General features: G+C 37.2%; 1 protein-coding gene across 20 annotated transcripts in view; it reads left to right on the top strand.

The window, feature by feature from the left end:
* Positions 1-16,844, top strand: part of FYB2 (FYN binding protein 2) — a 108,126-nt gene that overhangs the window by 68,127 nt on the left and 23,155 nt on the right. For 16 of the 20 annotated variants that reach the window (XR_007095697.1, XR_007095698.1, XR_946570.2 and 13 more), the window contains 7 exons: positions 38-72; positions 2,861-2,892; positions 4,853-4,949; positions 7,585-7,744; positions 14,522-14,636; positions 14,722-14,762; positions 16,567-16,627. Coding sequence is in view for 15 of the 20 variants with exons in the window: in XM_047448402.1 (XP_047304358.1) it covers positions 38-72; positions 2,861-2,892; positions 4,853-4,949; positions 7,585-7,744; positions 14,522-14,636; positions 14,722-14,762; positions 16,567-16,627 (541 nt within the window). In the remaining 5 variants the exon portion in view is untranslated. Of the gene's footprint in view, positions 1-37; positions 73-2,860; positions 2,893-4,852; positions 4,950-7,584; positions 7,745-14,521; positions 14,637-14,721; positions 14,763-16,566; positions 16,628-16,844 lie in introns of those variants that run through there. The other 4 variants (XM_047448403.1, XM_005270584.4, XM_017000548.2 and 1 more) reach the window with 3 other exon arrangements.

The raw sequence follows: 16,844 nt of genomic DNA, 5'->3' as shown, positions 1-16,844 counted from the left end.
CAGCTGCCTTGAAATAATTTTTTTATGTTTACTTTAGCAACTTATGAAGTTGGAATTGAAGAACTCCAAAAGGTATTGTTTCTCCTTACCAACATTGTAACTAAAAGTAAAATAAGCATGCAAGGTTGATTCTAAAGTAGTATCTTTTAGAGGGAAAAAATGTCTTTGTTTTCATTTTTCCTCCTATTTCTGAGGATTTTCCAGACTCCAGCTTCTAAGAGTCTGCACTTTGAGCCCTGTTACTGTCAGAGACAAAAATGTGTGATAGGATGGGAGGAAATGGTCCCAATTCATCCATAGCCCTTTTCTGTGGTGGGCAGTGACAACTAGCTTTTAATAACTATGACTTCCAGTGAGAAGAGTTCTATGGCACAATCCAGGTTTGTATATCCTGGCTTTCAGACCCCTTAGGGCATGCTTTCTGGGCTCCTGCTAGACATGGTGTCAGGTGCCACCTGGAGGCAGCATAGCAACCTGATTAGGGCCCAAGCAGAATCACTGCTGGCCTCAATCCCAACTCCTGGCTATGTGATCTTGAATGCCCATTTCCTCACCTGCAAAATGGGGATAATAAAGAACTCACATCTGAGGTCCTTGTGAGAATGAAAATAAGATAAATGAAGGTATACAGCTTATTAGTAAGTGCTTGAAACAGAGCATTTCACCTCTCTGAGACTTAGATGTGTCCTCTATAAAATGGTGTATTCTTGGCCAGGCATAGTGGCTCATGCCTATAAGCCTAGCACTTTGGGAGGCCAAGGCAGACAGATCACTTGAGCCCATGAGTTCAAGACCAGCCTGGGCAACATGGTGAAATACTGTCCCTACAAAAAAAAAAAAAAATACAAAAATTAGCCAGGAGTGGTGGTATATGCCTGTAGTCCCAGCTACTCGAGAGGCTGAGGCAGGAGGACCGTTTAAGCCCAGGAGGTGGAGGTTGCAGCGAGCCGATATTGTACCACTACACTTTAGCCTGGGCAGTAGACAGACTGAGACCCTGTATCAAAAAAAAAAGAAAAAGAAAGAATGAAAAGAAAGAAAGAAAGAAAGAATGAAAGAAAGAAAGAAAGAAAGAAAGAAAGAAAGAAAGAAAGAAAGAAGGAAGGAAGGAAAGAGGAAAGAAAGAAAAAGAAAGAAAGAAAGGAAAAGAAAAGAAAAGAAAGAAAAGAAGGAAAGAAAAGGCATATTTTCCATGAGGACAGGAAGCATATGTCTTGTGGTTACTGTATCTGCAGTAGCAGATGCTCAATAAATAAAGGGACCAATACTTGTTTCACTGAATATCTGGGAGAAGTAAGGCAAACACAGTATGTAAGCACTGTGTAAGCTCATAGAAGGCCCTTACCCAGTGTTTTAATGGGATCAGTTAAGGTTCTACTCTTTTCTCACTGGGTACATTTAGTCTAGATCCTTCATCTCTCTGTTTTGGTTCTCTTATGCTTGCTGGTAAGGATTATTCATTTGTGGATACACTTTGTCACTAGAAAAATATGAATGATTATTATTTCTATTAATGGCAGTAGAAATAGCCTATTAAAATGCTTCATGTACCTGGCAACATCAACAAATAATAAACTGTTCTGCACAAATGAACTTGCCAAGTAAATGAATTTTATCCCATTTTATCCCAATTTTCTGTTTTAAGTAAAACATACAATTATTTTTAATTTTTAAATCTTTTAACTCTCATACATGTTTTGTGTTTATCTCTGTATTTTTAAGCTCAGTGAGTGGAATCTGATCTCTTCCTTTCTTAATGACTTGGAATATTCTTGACTATAAGGGACTGAGTCAACATAGTTTATGCTCTTCTTTTGAGATGCTCTTGAGCCTTTGCAGAAGAACTAGTTCCCTTCACACCAAACTACCACAAGTCAGTTTTTTGTATTCTTTTCCCTTTTTTTCTACTGTCACGATCTTTGTGTCTAGCAATGAGTTTTTCATGTGGTCAAACATGTACCAAGTCCCTCTGGTGTGATAGCACTTGTGCATAGACAGTAGTGCTTAACCCTTATAGTTACCCTGTGAGCTGATATCACTGCTCCCATATTACAGATGACATTAAGGTTCAGAGAGGTTTAGTAACCTGTAAATCATGTAACAAAGATATAAAACAAGGTCTGTCTGACTTGTCATTCTACCAGTGCTGCATCTAATTTGCTAGAATTATGTGTAAAATAAGAACCAATAGTCTCTGAATAATGGTTTCCAGGGCTGCCCTCAAAGGAGAGTATAATGAGCTATGATACCTGGATTTTGTGATGGCATTTTAGATGCTTAGATATTTTCTATTCTTCTCAGAGTTCTTAGACAGATTCCAAATAATGAATGTCACCAGATCTATAATCACTGAATAAATGAGGGGCTACATTGTGATCATTGGGACATAATTTTAATGGAGCCAAATCTAGATCCTGCAAGATTTGAGCGGTGATCACAGGGCACATGATCAGCGAGTAACGGAGAAATTCCAGCATTACTTGTGCACTTGTGAATACCAATTTGCCCAGTAAAATATTGCTTAAATCCCACAAATTCATATTTTCTCATAGGATTTAGAAGTTATTTACGTTTCCGATGCATTTTGGGAAAGGTGTGCATACAACAATTTTTCTGAGTCACATCATACATTCCTTTGGGCATGACCTATAACTTCAGAAATGCTTGTTTTCATTTCTGATTGATCTTCAGCCCCACTGCAACAGTTCCTGGAACTTTCTGTGGTCAGTGTCTGCCTTTGCTCTCTACTGAGGCTTCATCCCCCTCACCTTTTGGTGTAGTCTCTAATGATCTGTAACCAAACAACAGAGCCTGATTCAGGTTGATTTATGAAAATAACCATTTTCCACTTTACTTTCAGCCTGGGAAGAATTTTCCCTATCCAGAACCTAGGTGAGTTTTATCTTTCAAAAGAAAAGCACCTGTCCAAGCACTGACTTTCTGATGACTGAACTAGTTTTCCTCTATGGGCCAGCTATGTTTCCAAACTGAGCTAGCCTGGTTCAGTTTCCCCGGCACCTTGCAAGGTGCCTAGTACAGAGGAAGTGATCCATGATCCTGCCTTGCCTCCCCCTCTTATCTTGTTCTAGCCCATGCTGCACTCAGCAAACATTTACTGAGTACCCAACATGTGCCAGATATGTGCTCACCAGTGGGGCTTTGGCAGTGATGGAGACCTCGCTATTGCTTTCAGGATCTCCTGAATTAGTGGGAGAGTCACACACTCAAACAGGAAAATAATAATAACATGAATTCCAAAGAACTGACAATTTCTGAAATGCACCATGCTGTTTGAAGTCTCTTTGCCTTTGCTCTTTTAAGTCATTGATTCACCCCAATTTAACAGTCTGGCAAGCTTCTACTAATCCATCAAGCACCCCTCATGTATGAACCCTTCCTTCATTCCACTCCCTGAGAGAAGTGACCAATCCCTTGCCTGTGGTACCACTGTAAGGTCTGTTTGCACAGTATGTTTGCACAAATGCCACTGTATGTAGTTTGCTAACATGAGAATTCATCCTCCCCTCCCTACTCCCCTTCCTGTCTGGGAGCTCCTTGTATGTAGGGCCAATGTTTTAATGTTTTTGGTGTTCCTGGTACCTCTCACACTTCTTGGGTCCAGAGGAATGCCCTGGCACATAGTAGTGCTCTTACCTGCCTCTTCAGAGTCTGTTTCTAGCCCTTCTCCCTGGAGTTATTCTAATATATTTTTAAAAAGCATGGTTGATGAGCTCTGGAGAAGCAAATATCAAAATTTCCTGGTTGAATCTAAAAACGTGTGCTGAATCATGGAGAAAACCTGCTTTAGCTGGATGGGCTACCTTCCTCTCTCTCCCTGAGTTCCTGCCTGTCCCTAAATTTATGACTTTCATAAATACCTTGTAGCACTAACACAGTGCTGGTCACATGGTAAGGCACAGGTCAAATGATTCATTATTTAGTTCAACATTTATTGAGCTTTTACTCTTCAGATGCTGCTAGATTCTGAGGTACAAAACTGAATAGAATATATTTTCTACCCTTGATCCAAGATGGGAGGGGAAGCCAGAGTAGTTGGGAGTGAGGGGTTACTTGGAGGGTAAAATGACCAAATAAATAGGAAATCACAATAAAATATTATCACTGCTATGGAAGTTTAACAACACAGAAGTGAGGTGCAAAAACCAGCTTTTCCTATCATGGATTACACAGCATTAATGCTGGAGTTACACATGTGAATAAGATAGTTCTGCCTTGATTTTTAGTGGTTGACAAGGCAAAGTGGAGGGACTGGAGATAGATCCATAGATAGATGTATTGTAAGACAATATGGAAGAACAAAGTGTTAGAAGAGTAGAGAAGGTATGACTGCTTGGGAGAATCAGGGAAGCATTCTCAGAGGTAAGATGATTTAGCTATATCATGAAGGGCATTGTATTTACCAGCAGTATAAGATGTGGAAGGCATGTCTAAAGAAAAATAATAAAAAAGGAGAGTTGCTCAAATAGGGTGGTGGGTTTGAGGAATTATGAGAGTCTAGACTCAAGCCAAAGTGGAGGTAAAAAGCAGCAGGAGATGAGTTTGGAAAGAAAGGTACGAGCCAGATCACGATGAAACTTAAGTTTTATCCTATAGGCAATAGGGAGTTAGAAGATTTTAAGCAGCAATTGACACTGTGGCATTAATTGGAACAGGCAGAAACTCAAGGAAGCTATGTATATAATTGATCTGATCCTAGTCCCTTCATCTAAGATAAATGATTCATATTTGTTCAAATCTATTTTTCCCATTCATTTCATTTAGGATTGGACAGTACACTATCATTTAAACACTCTAAGCTTCATTTTTTTCCTGGTATCTCTTCACATTTCAGTGCTAAACATGAAGATAAAAAAATGAAGGAAAAACAACCATGTGAATTGAAACCTAAAAACACAGAAAAGGAACCATATTCAAACCATGTTTTCAAGGTACCTATGTTCTACGGTTCCTGCAGTTTAGACATATAACAGATCAGTTCATGGGGGTGACTTTATATGGCCTGAGAGAGCTCTTCAGAGAGACAGAGTTAGAAAAGGCAATGGGCATTTGATATTGTATCAAGGAAATAAATGTAACAATGACACTAAGCTCCAGCCCCTAATTTTCCACTTTTTAGCCATGAAGCCGACCTTAGAAGCAGGGCTGGGACTAGATTAAGTCCAACAAGAAACCCAGGGTGCAAACTATAAGGCAGTACCCACTCTCAGGTGCCATCCCTGCCCTTGCACTACCCTGGAGTGAGAGTTTCCTTAAACGTTGTGCCCTAAGGCCCTGCTTAGAAGAGTGACTTGTCTCTGAGCTCAGTTACCTCATCTATAAATGAAAATAAATGATTCCTACCCAATTACCATCCCCATTCCCATGCCAATTCTACCTCGTTTGTGGTGATAAAATAATGTGCAAGAAAGTGTTTCATAAGCCATAAGCTACCATACAAATGAAATGTATTCTTGTTGCTTTCATTAATATTAAATATGGTGAATGTGTGTATATCCATATCCAACTGACCCCATCTGCTTCAAAGCAGTTGGGTGGCAGGAGGCTTAAACAATAGACACCACCAGGGCTATTGCCAGTACTCACATTAGATACCTGTTTGAGATGTGCCTATCTTTTAAGATGCAGTTGTCCCAGTCCCATCTGCAGAAGTAGGGTAAGTCAAACAGCATGTTGGCTGTATGAGCCTGAACTGGCATGTAGGTCCAGAGGTTGGGCTGGACCATGTTGGGTGTTCAGAGAGCATCAGAAAGCAGCATAATTCAAAGGATGGAGTAAGTTGCTAATTAAGAAAGACAAGGTCCAGAGCCAGGGGAGCAGCACTGGGTGTGAAAGCCAAGCCATCAATGGCTGTCAAGTTAGAGATCAGGAATGGTTTGATTAGGAGCATATGAGAGGGCAGGAGAGATACATGACTAAGGATATTAGCCATGAAAAATCACAAGCTCTGCTCTTTTTCAATGCTGGCTATGTGGCGTAAGCCAGATATGGGCTCAAACTACTAACGAAGAGTCACTTCCTTCTTTTATGGAGTGAGTTTGGGTTCCAGAAATTGTTAAATGTGATTTAGAATATGTTAGGTGAATGAGGGGCTGCTTTCATTATGGGACTACATTGAAGGATGGTGGTCACTATATTTCTGCAAAATACTGACTTCATTACTTTCTTGTCAATTTTCCCCATTTATACATTTAATTCTTGGTACTATGACCTAAAAGAATGCCCCTCCTCTTATTCTTCTGACAGTTTCCCTAAGATTCCACCCAAAACTCAGGATAATCCACTCCTTATGTCTATTAATTACATTAGCTTTTCCCAAGTACTTTCAAATGTATTATCATAGTCAATCCTCATCTCTACTCTGTTGTAGTCAGAAGGACAATTACCTTTCTCTCATTGGACAATTATAAAACAGTTAGATGGCCAAAAATACTCTAATTTTCTCTCTCTCCAGGGTCTCGTCCTGTCAGTCTATCCAGAACATTTTGAAATGTAAATGTGATCAGGGTTTTCCCTGGCCTGACTCCTAATGGTTAAGAAATAAAGCCCAAACTCTTTGCTTTGCATGCAAGACCCTTCATAACTCAGCCCTATTCTCATTTACCTTTTCAACCTCATCGCCAGGCTGTCTTCCCTTATCTTTTTCCTTCAACTCTTACCTTATCAGCAGCCTCCTTGCTACCCTTATAAGGACACAAACACTTCCCCAAATCCCCTGTGCCTTTTTTTTGTGCTGATTTATCTGCCAGATACTCCTTTATCCACTCTGTCAATCTCCTACTGACATTTGGAAAATACAATTTAATAAAATCTGCTTTTCGAGGTCTTCTCTAACCCATCTCCCAGCCAAGAGAACCAACCTCCTCATCCTCTCTGTTTCCAAGACAGTGAGCAATACTGCTGTAAATAACACTCATCACATTATACCCTAATTAATCATTTGCATGCATTATCTCCAAGACCAATGTGTTAAGAAACTCTGTCTCTACTTCTAGAGCTTAGCATGTTGTCTTGCCTTCTGTAAGTGCTTGACAAATGCTAGAGAAAGGGAGTGAAGAAAGAAGTGAGAAGGAACAGAAGAATGGTGGGTGGGAAGACAAAATGTAGGCAAAAAGAAGGAAATGAAAAGGAATACATAGCATCCCTTGGAACAAGGTTCTGGGGTCAAGTCCTGCCTAGGTAGATTACTAACTGTGGAACCAGTGACCAGTTACTCAACCTCTCTAAACTCTTTATCAAGAGAACTGATGATACTTTTCTCATGAGGTATCATGATGATTAAGTTATATGGAATATAAAAAGCCTGCCCTATAGTCAGTACACCCTGTATCCTGACTGCTTCCTGTGAGCTGCCTCTGTGCCAGGCATTCATTGAACATTCAGAGGTAATGAAGGATATAGTATGCACCTTCAGGAAACTTAGAGTCTAGTAAGATATTATTCAATGTTAAATAAATGATAAATAATTGTTATCCATGAGGAATGAATGAAAAACTGTACAAGTAAGCAAAGAACTGATTAGGTAAGTCACAGCCCTACAGTATTCTCCCTTTTGCATATGTTTAGGTAGATGCCTGTGAAGGGACACCTGAAAAAATTCAGATGACCAACGTCCACACAGGTAGAAGGAACATGTTGGCTGGAAAGCAAGAGGCCATGATTGACATCATCCAGACAAATCCCTGCCCTGAGGGCCCAAAGCTGGCCAGGCACTCCCAAGGCCACTGTAAGTTGCATTTCTTTCTGATCTTCTTCATCATTACAATTTGTTTTATAGCTGAGCATGGCCAAAATTTTAATTTATTTTACCAATATTTATTGAACATCTATTTTGTGCCAAGCAACTTGCCCTAGTGAGGAAGCTGTGCAGTAGTGGAAAAAAACACTGAATTGAAAAGCAGAAGTCTTGAGTTCAAACCTAAGCTCTAATACTTAGTAAGCTGTGTGGTAAGTGACTTCATATTCCTGCAACTCAATTTCTTCATTTATAAAAAGAGATCATCATAATATGGACCTCACAGGGCTTTTATGAGGACCAAATCTGACAGTATATTATATGATAGGTACTCAGCAAATGTTTGTTCTTTTTTTTATATATATACTAGCTCCTGTTGTCTAGGCTCACATCATCATTGACATGTACTGGTGATACACTATGGTATCATTTGTTGACTTTATTCAGGTTGCATTTTACCTGCGTGTTAGTCGGTACCCTTGATTGGAAGCAACAGTGATCAAACCATACTATGTTAAACACAAAAAGAAAAGGAGGTTCACCTAGCAGAAAGTCTAGCCATGGTTGGATCCAGGGACACAAACAATATCATAGTGACTTGGTATCACTTTTTCCACTCCTGGTTTTGCTACCCTTTCAGTTGACACTTCAATAGCAACAGAACGGCCACAGTCATAGGATCTGGAATAAAGCATTTCTATACTAACCCCGTGATTTTGGAAAATGTACTTACTTTCATGTGCAAATGGTGATACTACTACTAATTTCCTAAGGCTATTTGTCAATGCATATAAAGTTTCTGGATCATATATTAAGTAACTATTAGTCTTTTTCATTTATTTTTATTTTGAAAAATTATACCATGCCTTACATTGCAATTCATGATTTATGTGTTATCTCCCATGGCACGCCGTAGGCACCTTGAAATCACAGACCATTTGGTATTTTTTTTCTGTATCTCTGTAACCTGGCTAAGTATCGAGCACACAGGAGAAACCCAATTTAATTTTGTAGAATGAAAGGATTAATCAAACTTCAGTGTCTAAAAATATGGTGGACTAGGCAATATGAATGACTCTCTTGACTAAAACAAAGTGAAGAATAAATTTTTTAAAACATTCATAAAAGTACCACAGAACTGATTTATAAAGAAAAGCACCCACAGGCCGGCAGTAACCAGGAAACCTGGGAGGTGCATGCCAAAGCTAACTTTTGCCTTGATGATTTTTGCTGAGATCCAAATCCCTATTTAGTTTCATCCCAGATTTCAAATAATCCCCTCAAAATATTCTTTACATGTTAACAATTGATAGTCAAAAATAACCAAACACAAGGAAACAACTCACAGTGAGGGAAAACCAGTGGAACAGATAGCAGAACCAACCTACAAGATATTGCAGATATTAGGATTATCAGGTATAACACATAAGATGTTTAATATGTTTTTAAAATAGAGGATAATATGAATAGAGAATAGCCATATTTTAAAAATATTTGAAAAGGAAAAAATAATAATTGATAAATTGATAAAATGCCAATGATTACATTTTATATCACATTACCTATAGTTGAAGAGAAAATTAGTGAACTAAAAGATAAATCTAAAGAAATTATCCAAAATTCATTCTATAGGGAAAAATGATTTTAAAAAGAGTAAAAGAGAGGATAAAAGTCATGGAAGGTAAAGTGAAAAGTCTAAAATTGTAATAAAATCAGAAAAATCAGAATTCCATAAAAGGATACTGGAAAAGTGAGGAAGAGGAAATAATAGATAAAACAAATACTATCTGAGAATTTTCCAAAATTGTTGAGAGAGATAAATTTGCAAAGCCAGGAACCCTAAAGTTCTCAAGCAGGATAAAAAACAGAAATCTATGCCTAGCCATGCAAAATGAAGAACATTAAAGAATAAGAGAATATCTTAAAAGACCTTAAAAACAGACAAAGGGGAAAAACCAATCACCCACAAAAAAAAAAAACACAACTGAGTTCTGACTGCTGATTTCTCCTGTGTAACAAGAATATAATTTTGCTGAAAGAGATTAAATATCTACCTGAAATTTTATGTCTCATAAAAATGCCTTTCACAAATGAAAGAAAAATAAGATGTTGTCAGACAAATAAAAACTGGGACATTTTATTGTCCAGATAAAATGCACTGAAGGAAATTCTAAAGCATGTACTTCAGGCAGAAGGAAGATAATCACAGATAGAAAGTTGTGGATGCAAGAAAAAAAGTTAAGCAAAAGCATTAATTCAACAAAATAACGTCAAATTGAGGAAGGAGCAAAATATTATAAAATATTGAACATTCATAGTGCTTATATTGAGAAGGTGATTAAAGTGTCCTAAGGTTGATAATTGTTTGGGAAGAGAGTAATGGTATTAATTTGCTTTAGCCTTGAAAGAATTAGAAGAGCTAGGATACAATCATTAAAATATACCGTTAAAAGAGTGAGAAGGTAACATCACACATGTACAACCATATGATCTTTGACAAACCTGACAAAAACAAGCAATAAGGAAAGGATTTCCTGTTTGATAAATGGTGCTGGGAAAACTGGCTAGCCACATGCGGAAAACAGAAACTGGACCCCTTCCTCACACCTTACATAAAAATTAACTCAAGAGGGATTAAAGACTTAAATGGAAAACTTAAAACCATAAAAACCCAAGAAGAAAACCTAGGCAATACCATTCAGGACATAGGCATGGACAAAGGCTTCATGACTAAAACACCAAAAGCAATTGCAACAACAGCCAAAATTGACCAATGGGATCTAATTAAACTAAAGAGCTTCTGCACAGCAAAAGCAACTATCATCAGAGTGAACAGGCAACCTTCAGAATGAGAGGGAATTTTTGGAATCTATCCATCTGACAAAGGTCTAATATCCAGAATCTACAAGAAACTTAAACAAATTTACAAGAATAAAACAACCCCATCAAAAAGTGGGCAAAGGATATGAACAGACACTTCTCAAAAGAAGACATTTATGTAGCCAACAAACATATGAAAAAAAGCTCATCATCACTGGTCATTAGAGAAATCCAAATCAAAACCACAATGAGATACCATCTCACGCCAGTTAGAATGACAGTTATCAAAAAGTCAGGAAACAACAGATGCTGGTGAGGCTGTGGAGAAATAGGAATGCTTTTACACTGTTGGTCAGAGTGTAAATTAGTTCAACGATTGTGGAAGACAGCGTGGTGATTCCTCAAGGATCTAGAACCAGAAATACCATTTGACCCAGCAATCCCATTACTGGGTATATACCCAAAGGATTATAAATAATTCTACTATAAAGATACATGCACACGTATGTTTATTGCAGCACTATTTACAATAGCAAAGACTTGGAAACAATCCATCAATGATAGACTGGATAAAGAAAATGTGGCACATATATACCATGGAATACTATGCAGCCATAAAAAAGAATGAGTTCATGTCCTTTGCAAGGACATGGGTGAAGCTGGAAGCCATCATTCTCAGCAAACTAATATAGGAACAGAAAACCCAACACCACACATTCTCACTCATAAGTGGGAGTTGAACAATGAGGAACGCATGTACACAGGGAAGGGAACATCACATACTGGGGCCTGTCAGGGGTGGGAGGCAAGGGGACAGAGAGCATTAGGACAAATACTTAGTGCATGCGGGGCTTAAAACCTAGATGACGAGTTGATTGGTGCAGCAAACCACCATGGCACAACTAACCTGCATATTCTGCACATGTATCTCAGAACTTAAAGTAAAATAAAAAAAAAAAGTTAAAAAAGAGTGAGAAGGTAAGTCACTGGGTCGGAGAAGATATTTCCATTATTTACATATACCGTTTATGTATCAAATATATACATATTTGATAAATGACTCATATTTGGAATATACATCTGTGAATGCTTGGTATTCAGAAAACATAAACTAGAAATCAATTTTTTATAAAAGAAATATAGTGAAATTAGAAAAATATTGAAACAGCCCTTCCCCAAAGAGACCATCCAAAAGGCAAATACACTATGAAAATTCAATTCTGCTACCAAATTGGCTACAATAAAAAAGACTAAAAATATCAAGTGTTAGTAAAGATATGGAGCAACTAAAGCTCTCATTCACTGTGGAGATTGTAAGCTGGGACAACCATTTTGGAAAACTGTTTAGCAGTACTAAGGTTGAACATAATGCATATCCTATGACCTAGCAATTCAGTACTTATGTATATATCCCAATATAAGTGCACAGTTTAATGCACCAAAACACACATACAAAATGCTTATAGCAAAACTTTTTGTAATAGCCCCAAATTGGAAACTGTCCAGATGCCCATAAAAAGTAGAATGGATAAATAAATGGTAACCTATTCACACAATAGAATAAAGTCATCTGAATGAGCAAAAAAAACTATTTGCAACAATATTGATGAATCTCACAAACATAATATTGAAGGAAAGTAGGTGACACCATAGAGTGCATACTAAATTATTCCATTATTAAAACATTCAAAAATAAGTACCGCTGGTATTAGAAGTCAGGACAGTGGTCACTCTTGTGGGTAACTATTAAAAGATAACAAATGAAAGAAAACAAATAGAAAAGAAAACAGAATGGCAGAAAGAGAAGAAACTTTAGTCAGATGAAGATAAGAAAAACATGGAACAAATAAAAATATGTACTAAGATAATAGATAAAAATTTAAAAATATCAGTAAACACTATAAATGTAATGCACTAAATTCACCAGTGAGAAGACACATGCATTCAAATCATTCGAAATTCAAATATATTAAGTACTTTTTATGTGCCCAGCACTGTTCTAGGAAATGGGGGTGTATAGCAGTGAACAGGCAAAAATTCCTTTTCTCACAGAGGTTACTTTCGGATCAGAGGAGACGGACAATAAATAATAAAAGATCTATATTGAATGGTATTAATAGTAAATATGAAAAAATAAAGCAAGCTAAGAGAATTAAAGAAGCAGGTAGAGGTGATAGAGGTTGCCATTTTAAAGTGCTCATAGATTACTTCAAAAACCTCAAGTAGTTGAGGAAGAGAGCCATATGTGTATCTAGGATATGAATGACCTAGGAAGAGAAAAAAAGTGCAAATCCCTGAGGCAGAAGTTGGCCAGATATGTTGGAGGAGCTGCAAGGAGGCCAGTGTGGCTAGAACAGAGTAACCGAGGAAGAGTATAGTAGGAGATGGGGTCACAGAAATAACAAGGGACTTCTGTAGATCACTGCAAGAACTTTAGCATTTACCATAAATGAGATTTTTAAAACCACTGAAAGCTTTTGCAAGTACAAGAAAGGCATGACCTGATTTGCATTTTAAAAAATCATCTGGCTTCTGTCTTGAAAATAAAATGTGAGATAAATCGGGGAGACCGGTTAGGAGGTTATTGCAATAATTTAGGTGAGAAATGGTGGTAGCTTGGAGGAGGATACTATGGTAGAATTGCTGAGATGTATTTGAAATCGGAATATAATTTGAAACTACAGTGGACAGATGGCTTTGGATTGGAAGTGAGAAATGAGAGAGAAATGAATCGAGGATGTCTCCAAGGTTTTGGGCCTGAGCAACATAAAGGATGGAATTGCCCCTTTTATGAGATTGAATAAACTTCAGGAAGAGCAAACTTGCAGAGAGAAATTATGATTTTGGTTTGGAATGTAATATGTTTAGACAACCAAAAGGAAATGGTGTGAAGGCTGATAAAGTATCTGGAATTCATGAGAGATGTCTAAATTGGAGATGTAAATTTGAGAGTCGTCAGTGTTTTTAAAATGAAGGCATAAACTTTTGCATTTGCTTCAGCCAAAAGGAAGGATTGAGGAAGGAAATAAATGCTGCAGACTAAGAAGAAACTGTGTGTGTTCAGCATCTTTATTTTGTATTGGAGAAATTTACTGATAACTCCTTGAGAAAAAGTAGGACCTTATGCCTCTGAGAGCTGACATTCATTGAGATGGTTTGGGGCCTACACGCTCACTGACTTCTTGTCAGAGGATAAAATCTTATTGCTTGGTTCATTTAATTAATAGATACCAGTTAATGTGCTTGTTGTTTATTTCTCAAGTATATTACTTTCTATTTCTGATTAATAGTTCATATCTGAATATGGCTATGAATTACCCATACCCTAAATATTAACCTATGCCAACAGATAAAGAGGTGGCAGTTTTATGGTTATGACAAGTTTACAACTCTGTGAAGTAAGCCAGCATCTACTTGTGCAAACAATCCCTATACATTTGTTAACCTGGCACACTATCTTCTGGCTAACTCCAGAATGAATTAATGAATAATATATATTGATATGTGCTCAATCGACTTGTCTGAGAAATTTTGCTTTAAGAACTGCCGTAAGACTGGATAAGATCATCTAGATGTAGAGAGATAAGCCCCAGGGATGTACCCTGGTAGACTTCAAAGTTTGAGGTCAGGGATTAAAGGAAGAACCATCAAAGAAGGGAGTTACTAGTTTACTAGGTAACCAGCACCCTTCATAAATATGTATTTAATCCTTGCCAAAACCACATGATTCGGTGTTAGCATCATTATCCTCAACTTCAGAGAATCATAACTGAGGCTCTACAAAGTGAAGTGGCTTGCCCAAGGATCATACATACCAAGACTGTAATCCAATTTTAGCCCATTTAATCTGCCTTTTCTTATGCTTGCCTCCACTGCCAGTGATGTGTGTGAATGACTTTATGATGGCAGCTGATGTGATGTTTTTCAGGTTTTCTGGTTTCCTTTCAGGTGGGCATCTGGAGGTTTTGGAGTCAACTAAAGAAACTCCAGACCTAGGGGTCTCTAAGACAAGTTCCATCTCGGAGGAGATATATGATGATGTCGAGTACTCCAGGAAAGAGGTGTAAGTAACATTCCAGTCTTTCAGCAAGATGAATGTGATGAGACTTTAAAGGTACAATAATGGTCTTTGTTATTTTCTCCCATAGACCGAAGCTGAACTACTCTAGCTCACTTGCCTCAAGTAGTGGTAAGTATAGGAAGACATTTCTGAAGTTGCCAGTAGGAATTGCAGAATGCTTCTATGGCTGATTAGTGATAAGATGTCTTTTAATTATTCATATTTTAATAATGCCAATTTGTGGGAAGCTAAGAGAAGCAATACCAAGATATGTGCTAACAGCAATACCAAGGTATGTGCTAATAAATGCATTTAGAATCAGGAACATGAAGATGCTGGTAAGAGCATTCTTATGGTAAAAGTGAGTTTACTTCCTTCCTGATCTTTTCACAGTGTAAGTCTGATTATAGGACTGTTTTTACTTAAAACACTTTCTTGGCTTTCCAATACTTTTAAGATTGGCTTCTGACATGATCTAGAGTCCTTGACTAACCTACCCCTACAGACCTCTGGAGCCTCATCTCACACTGTACTCAATCTTCATCTTTGAGACCCAGTTATGCTGACCTTCTTTTAGCTTGTATAATTTGCCAAGCTCCAACAGCAGGATATTTTCATATGCTTTTCCCTCCCTTTCCGGAATGCTCTTTCCTCCCCTGGGTACCTTTGTTTCACTGACTCTTAATCTTCTAATCTCAGCTCAATCATTATTTCCACAGGGAATATTCTCCTTGGTGTACAATCTCATAGTACCATGGACTTCTTTTTCATAGTACTTGTCACAGTTGTAATTTTATACTTATGTGACTTTTTAATTAATGTCTCCCCTCCTAGATTATTACCTTCTTTATACATACCATTTTCTCCAGCCCCTAGCATAATGCCAAGTACATGTTAGATATTCAAAAAAATCTGTTGAATGAAGGAATTCATGAATGAAAAAGTAATGGGGAGGTATTGGTCAAAGGATACAAAATTTCAATTAGGAGAAGTACCTTCAGGAAGTTTATAGTACAACAGTGATTATAGTTAATAACAAAAGTATTATATACTTGAAAATTGCTGAGAGTAGATTTTAAAATTCTCACCACAAAAAATATGTGAGGTAATGAATACATTAACTGGCTTGACTTAGTCATTCCACTATGTATACAATTATCAAAACATGTTATATATCATAAGTATATATAATTATTATTTGTCAATTTTAAAATAAATTTTAGAAAAAGAAAAAGCAATGGAGTGGAGAGAATCAAATGTTACTCTGATTGATCTTAGAATCTCAGAAGTTTAGAGGGAAAAACAACCTTAAATATCATTAAACCCAGTACACTCATTTTAAAAAGAAAATTGAAACATAGAGAAGTGACTCCTCTAAGATCATTGTGTGTTAAAGTTGAGTTTTGAACCTAAAAATCCTGACCCTGATATTCAAAATTCTTTCCATTAGACTCTGTTTCAGGATTGAATTAAAGTATAACTGTGTATGTTAAGCTTATGTGTTGGGCTAGGCCAAAGCCATGCTGTGAAGGGAGAGATTATTCAAGATATATCTCATTTTCCATGGTTGCCCCAGCATTCAGCGCAATGCCTGATGCTTAGTAAATTCTGATTGTTATGTATTAAATACAGGAAGGAGGGAGGGTGGAAGGAAGGAATCTATTGAAGAACCAACTTTCTTTGACTAAATCAGTTCAAATTTGGAATCAGGTGGAAATGAGTCTTAATTTTCATTTATACATACTTTTATAGAGGTTTAAGTATTTTTACCATATGCTTTTAAAAACATGTGGGTGAGTTTCAGTAAAAACTATTTAACAAAAGAAAGATCAAAGTACCTAGCATCTAGTAAGTATCTAATACTTTTTGTTAAATATGAATCTGAACTATTGCTATTATAATGAATATAAGTAGGGTTTTCTTCTAATTTCAGAAGAAAATAGAGAACTGTATGAAGATGTCTACAAAACAAAGAACAACTACCCAAAGATAGAGTGAGTTTCTCTCTTTCTTGGCTTTGTAGGCTAATGACTTCCTGTTAGTCTAGTAAAGCCAGAGTTTCAGTGAGGACCCACCATCCGCCCCCCAGCCCCACTGCCACCCCCGACTCCCATCATCATCTTTTAGGAAAGATTCACACTGAGAGTTATGATAACCTATTGTAATATTACAATTGTGATCAATAGGATACTTGTAATTGTGTACAATCAT

This window comes from Homo sapiens, chromosome 1 (assembly GCF_000001405.40).
Source record: "Homo sapiens chromosome 1, GRCh38.p14 Primary Assembly".
NCBI lineage: Eukaryota > Metazoa > Chordata > Mammalia > Primates > Hominidae > Homo > Homo sapiens.
Note: the sequence above shows the minus strand (reverse complement) of the source record. Positions and strands in the feature narration are given on the sequence as shown.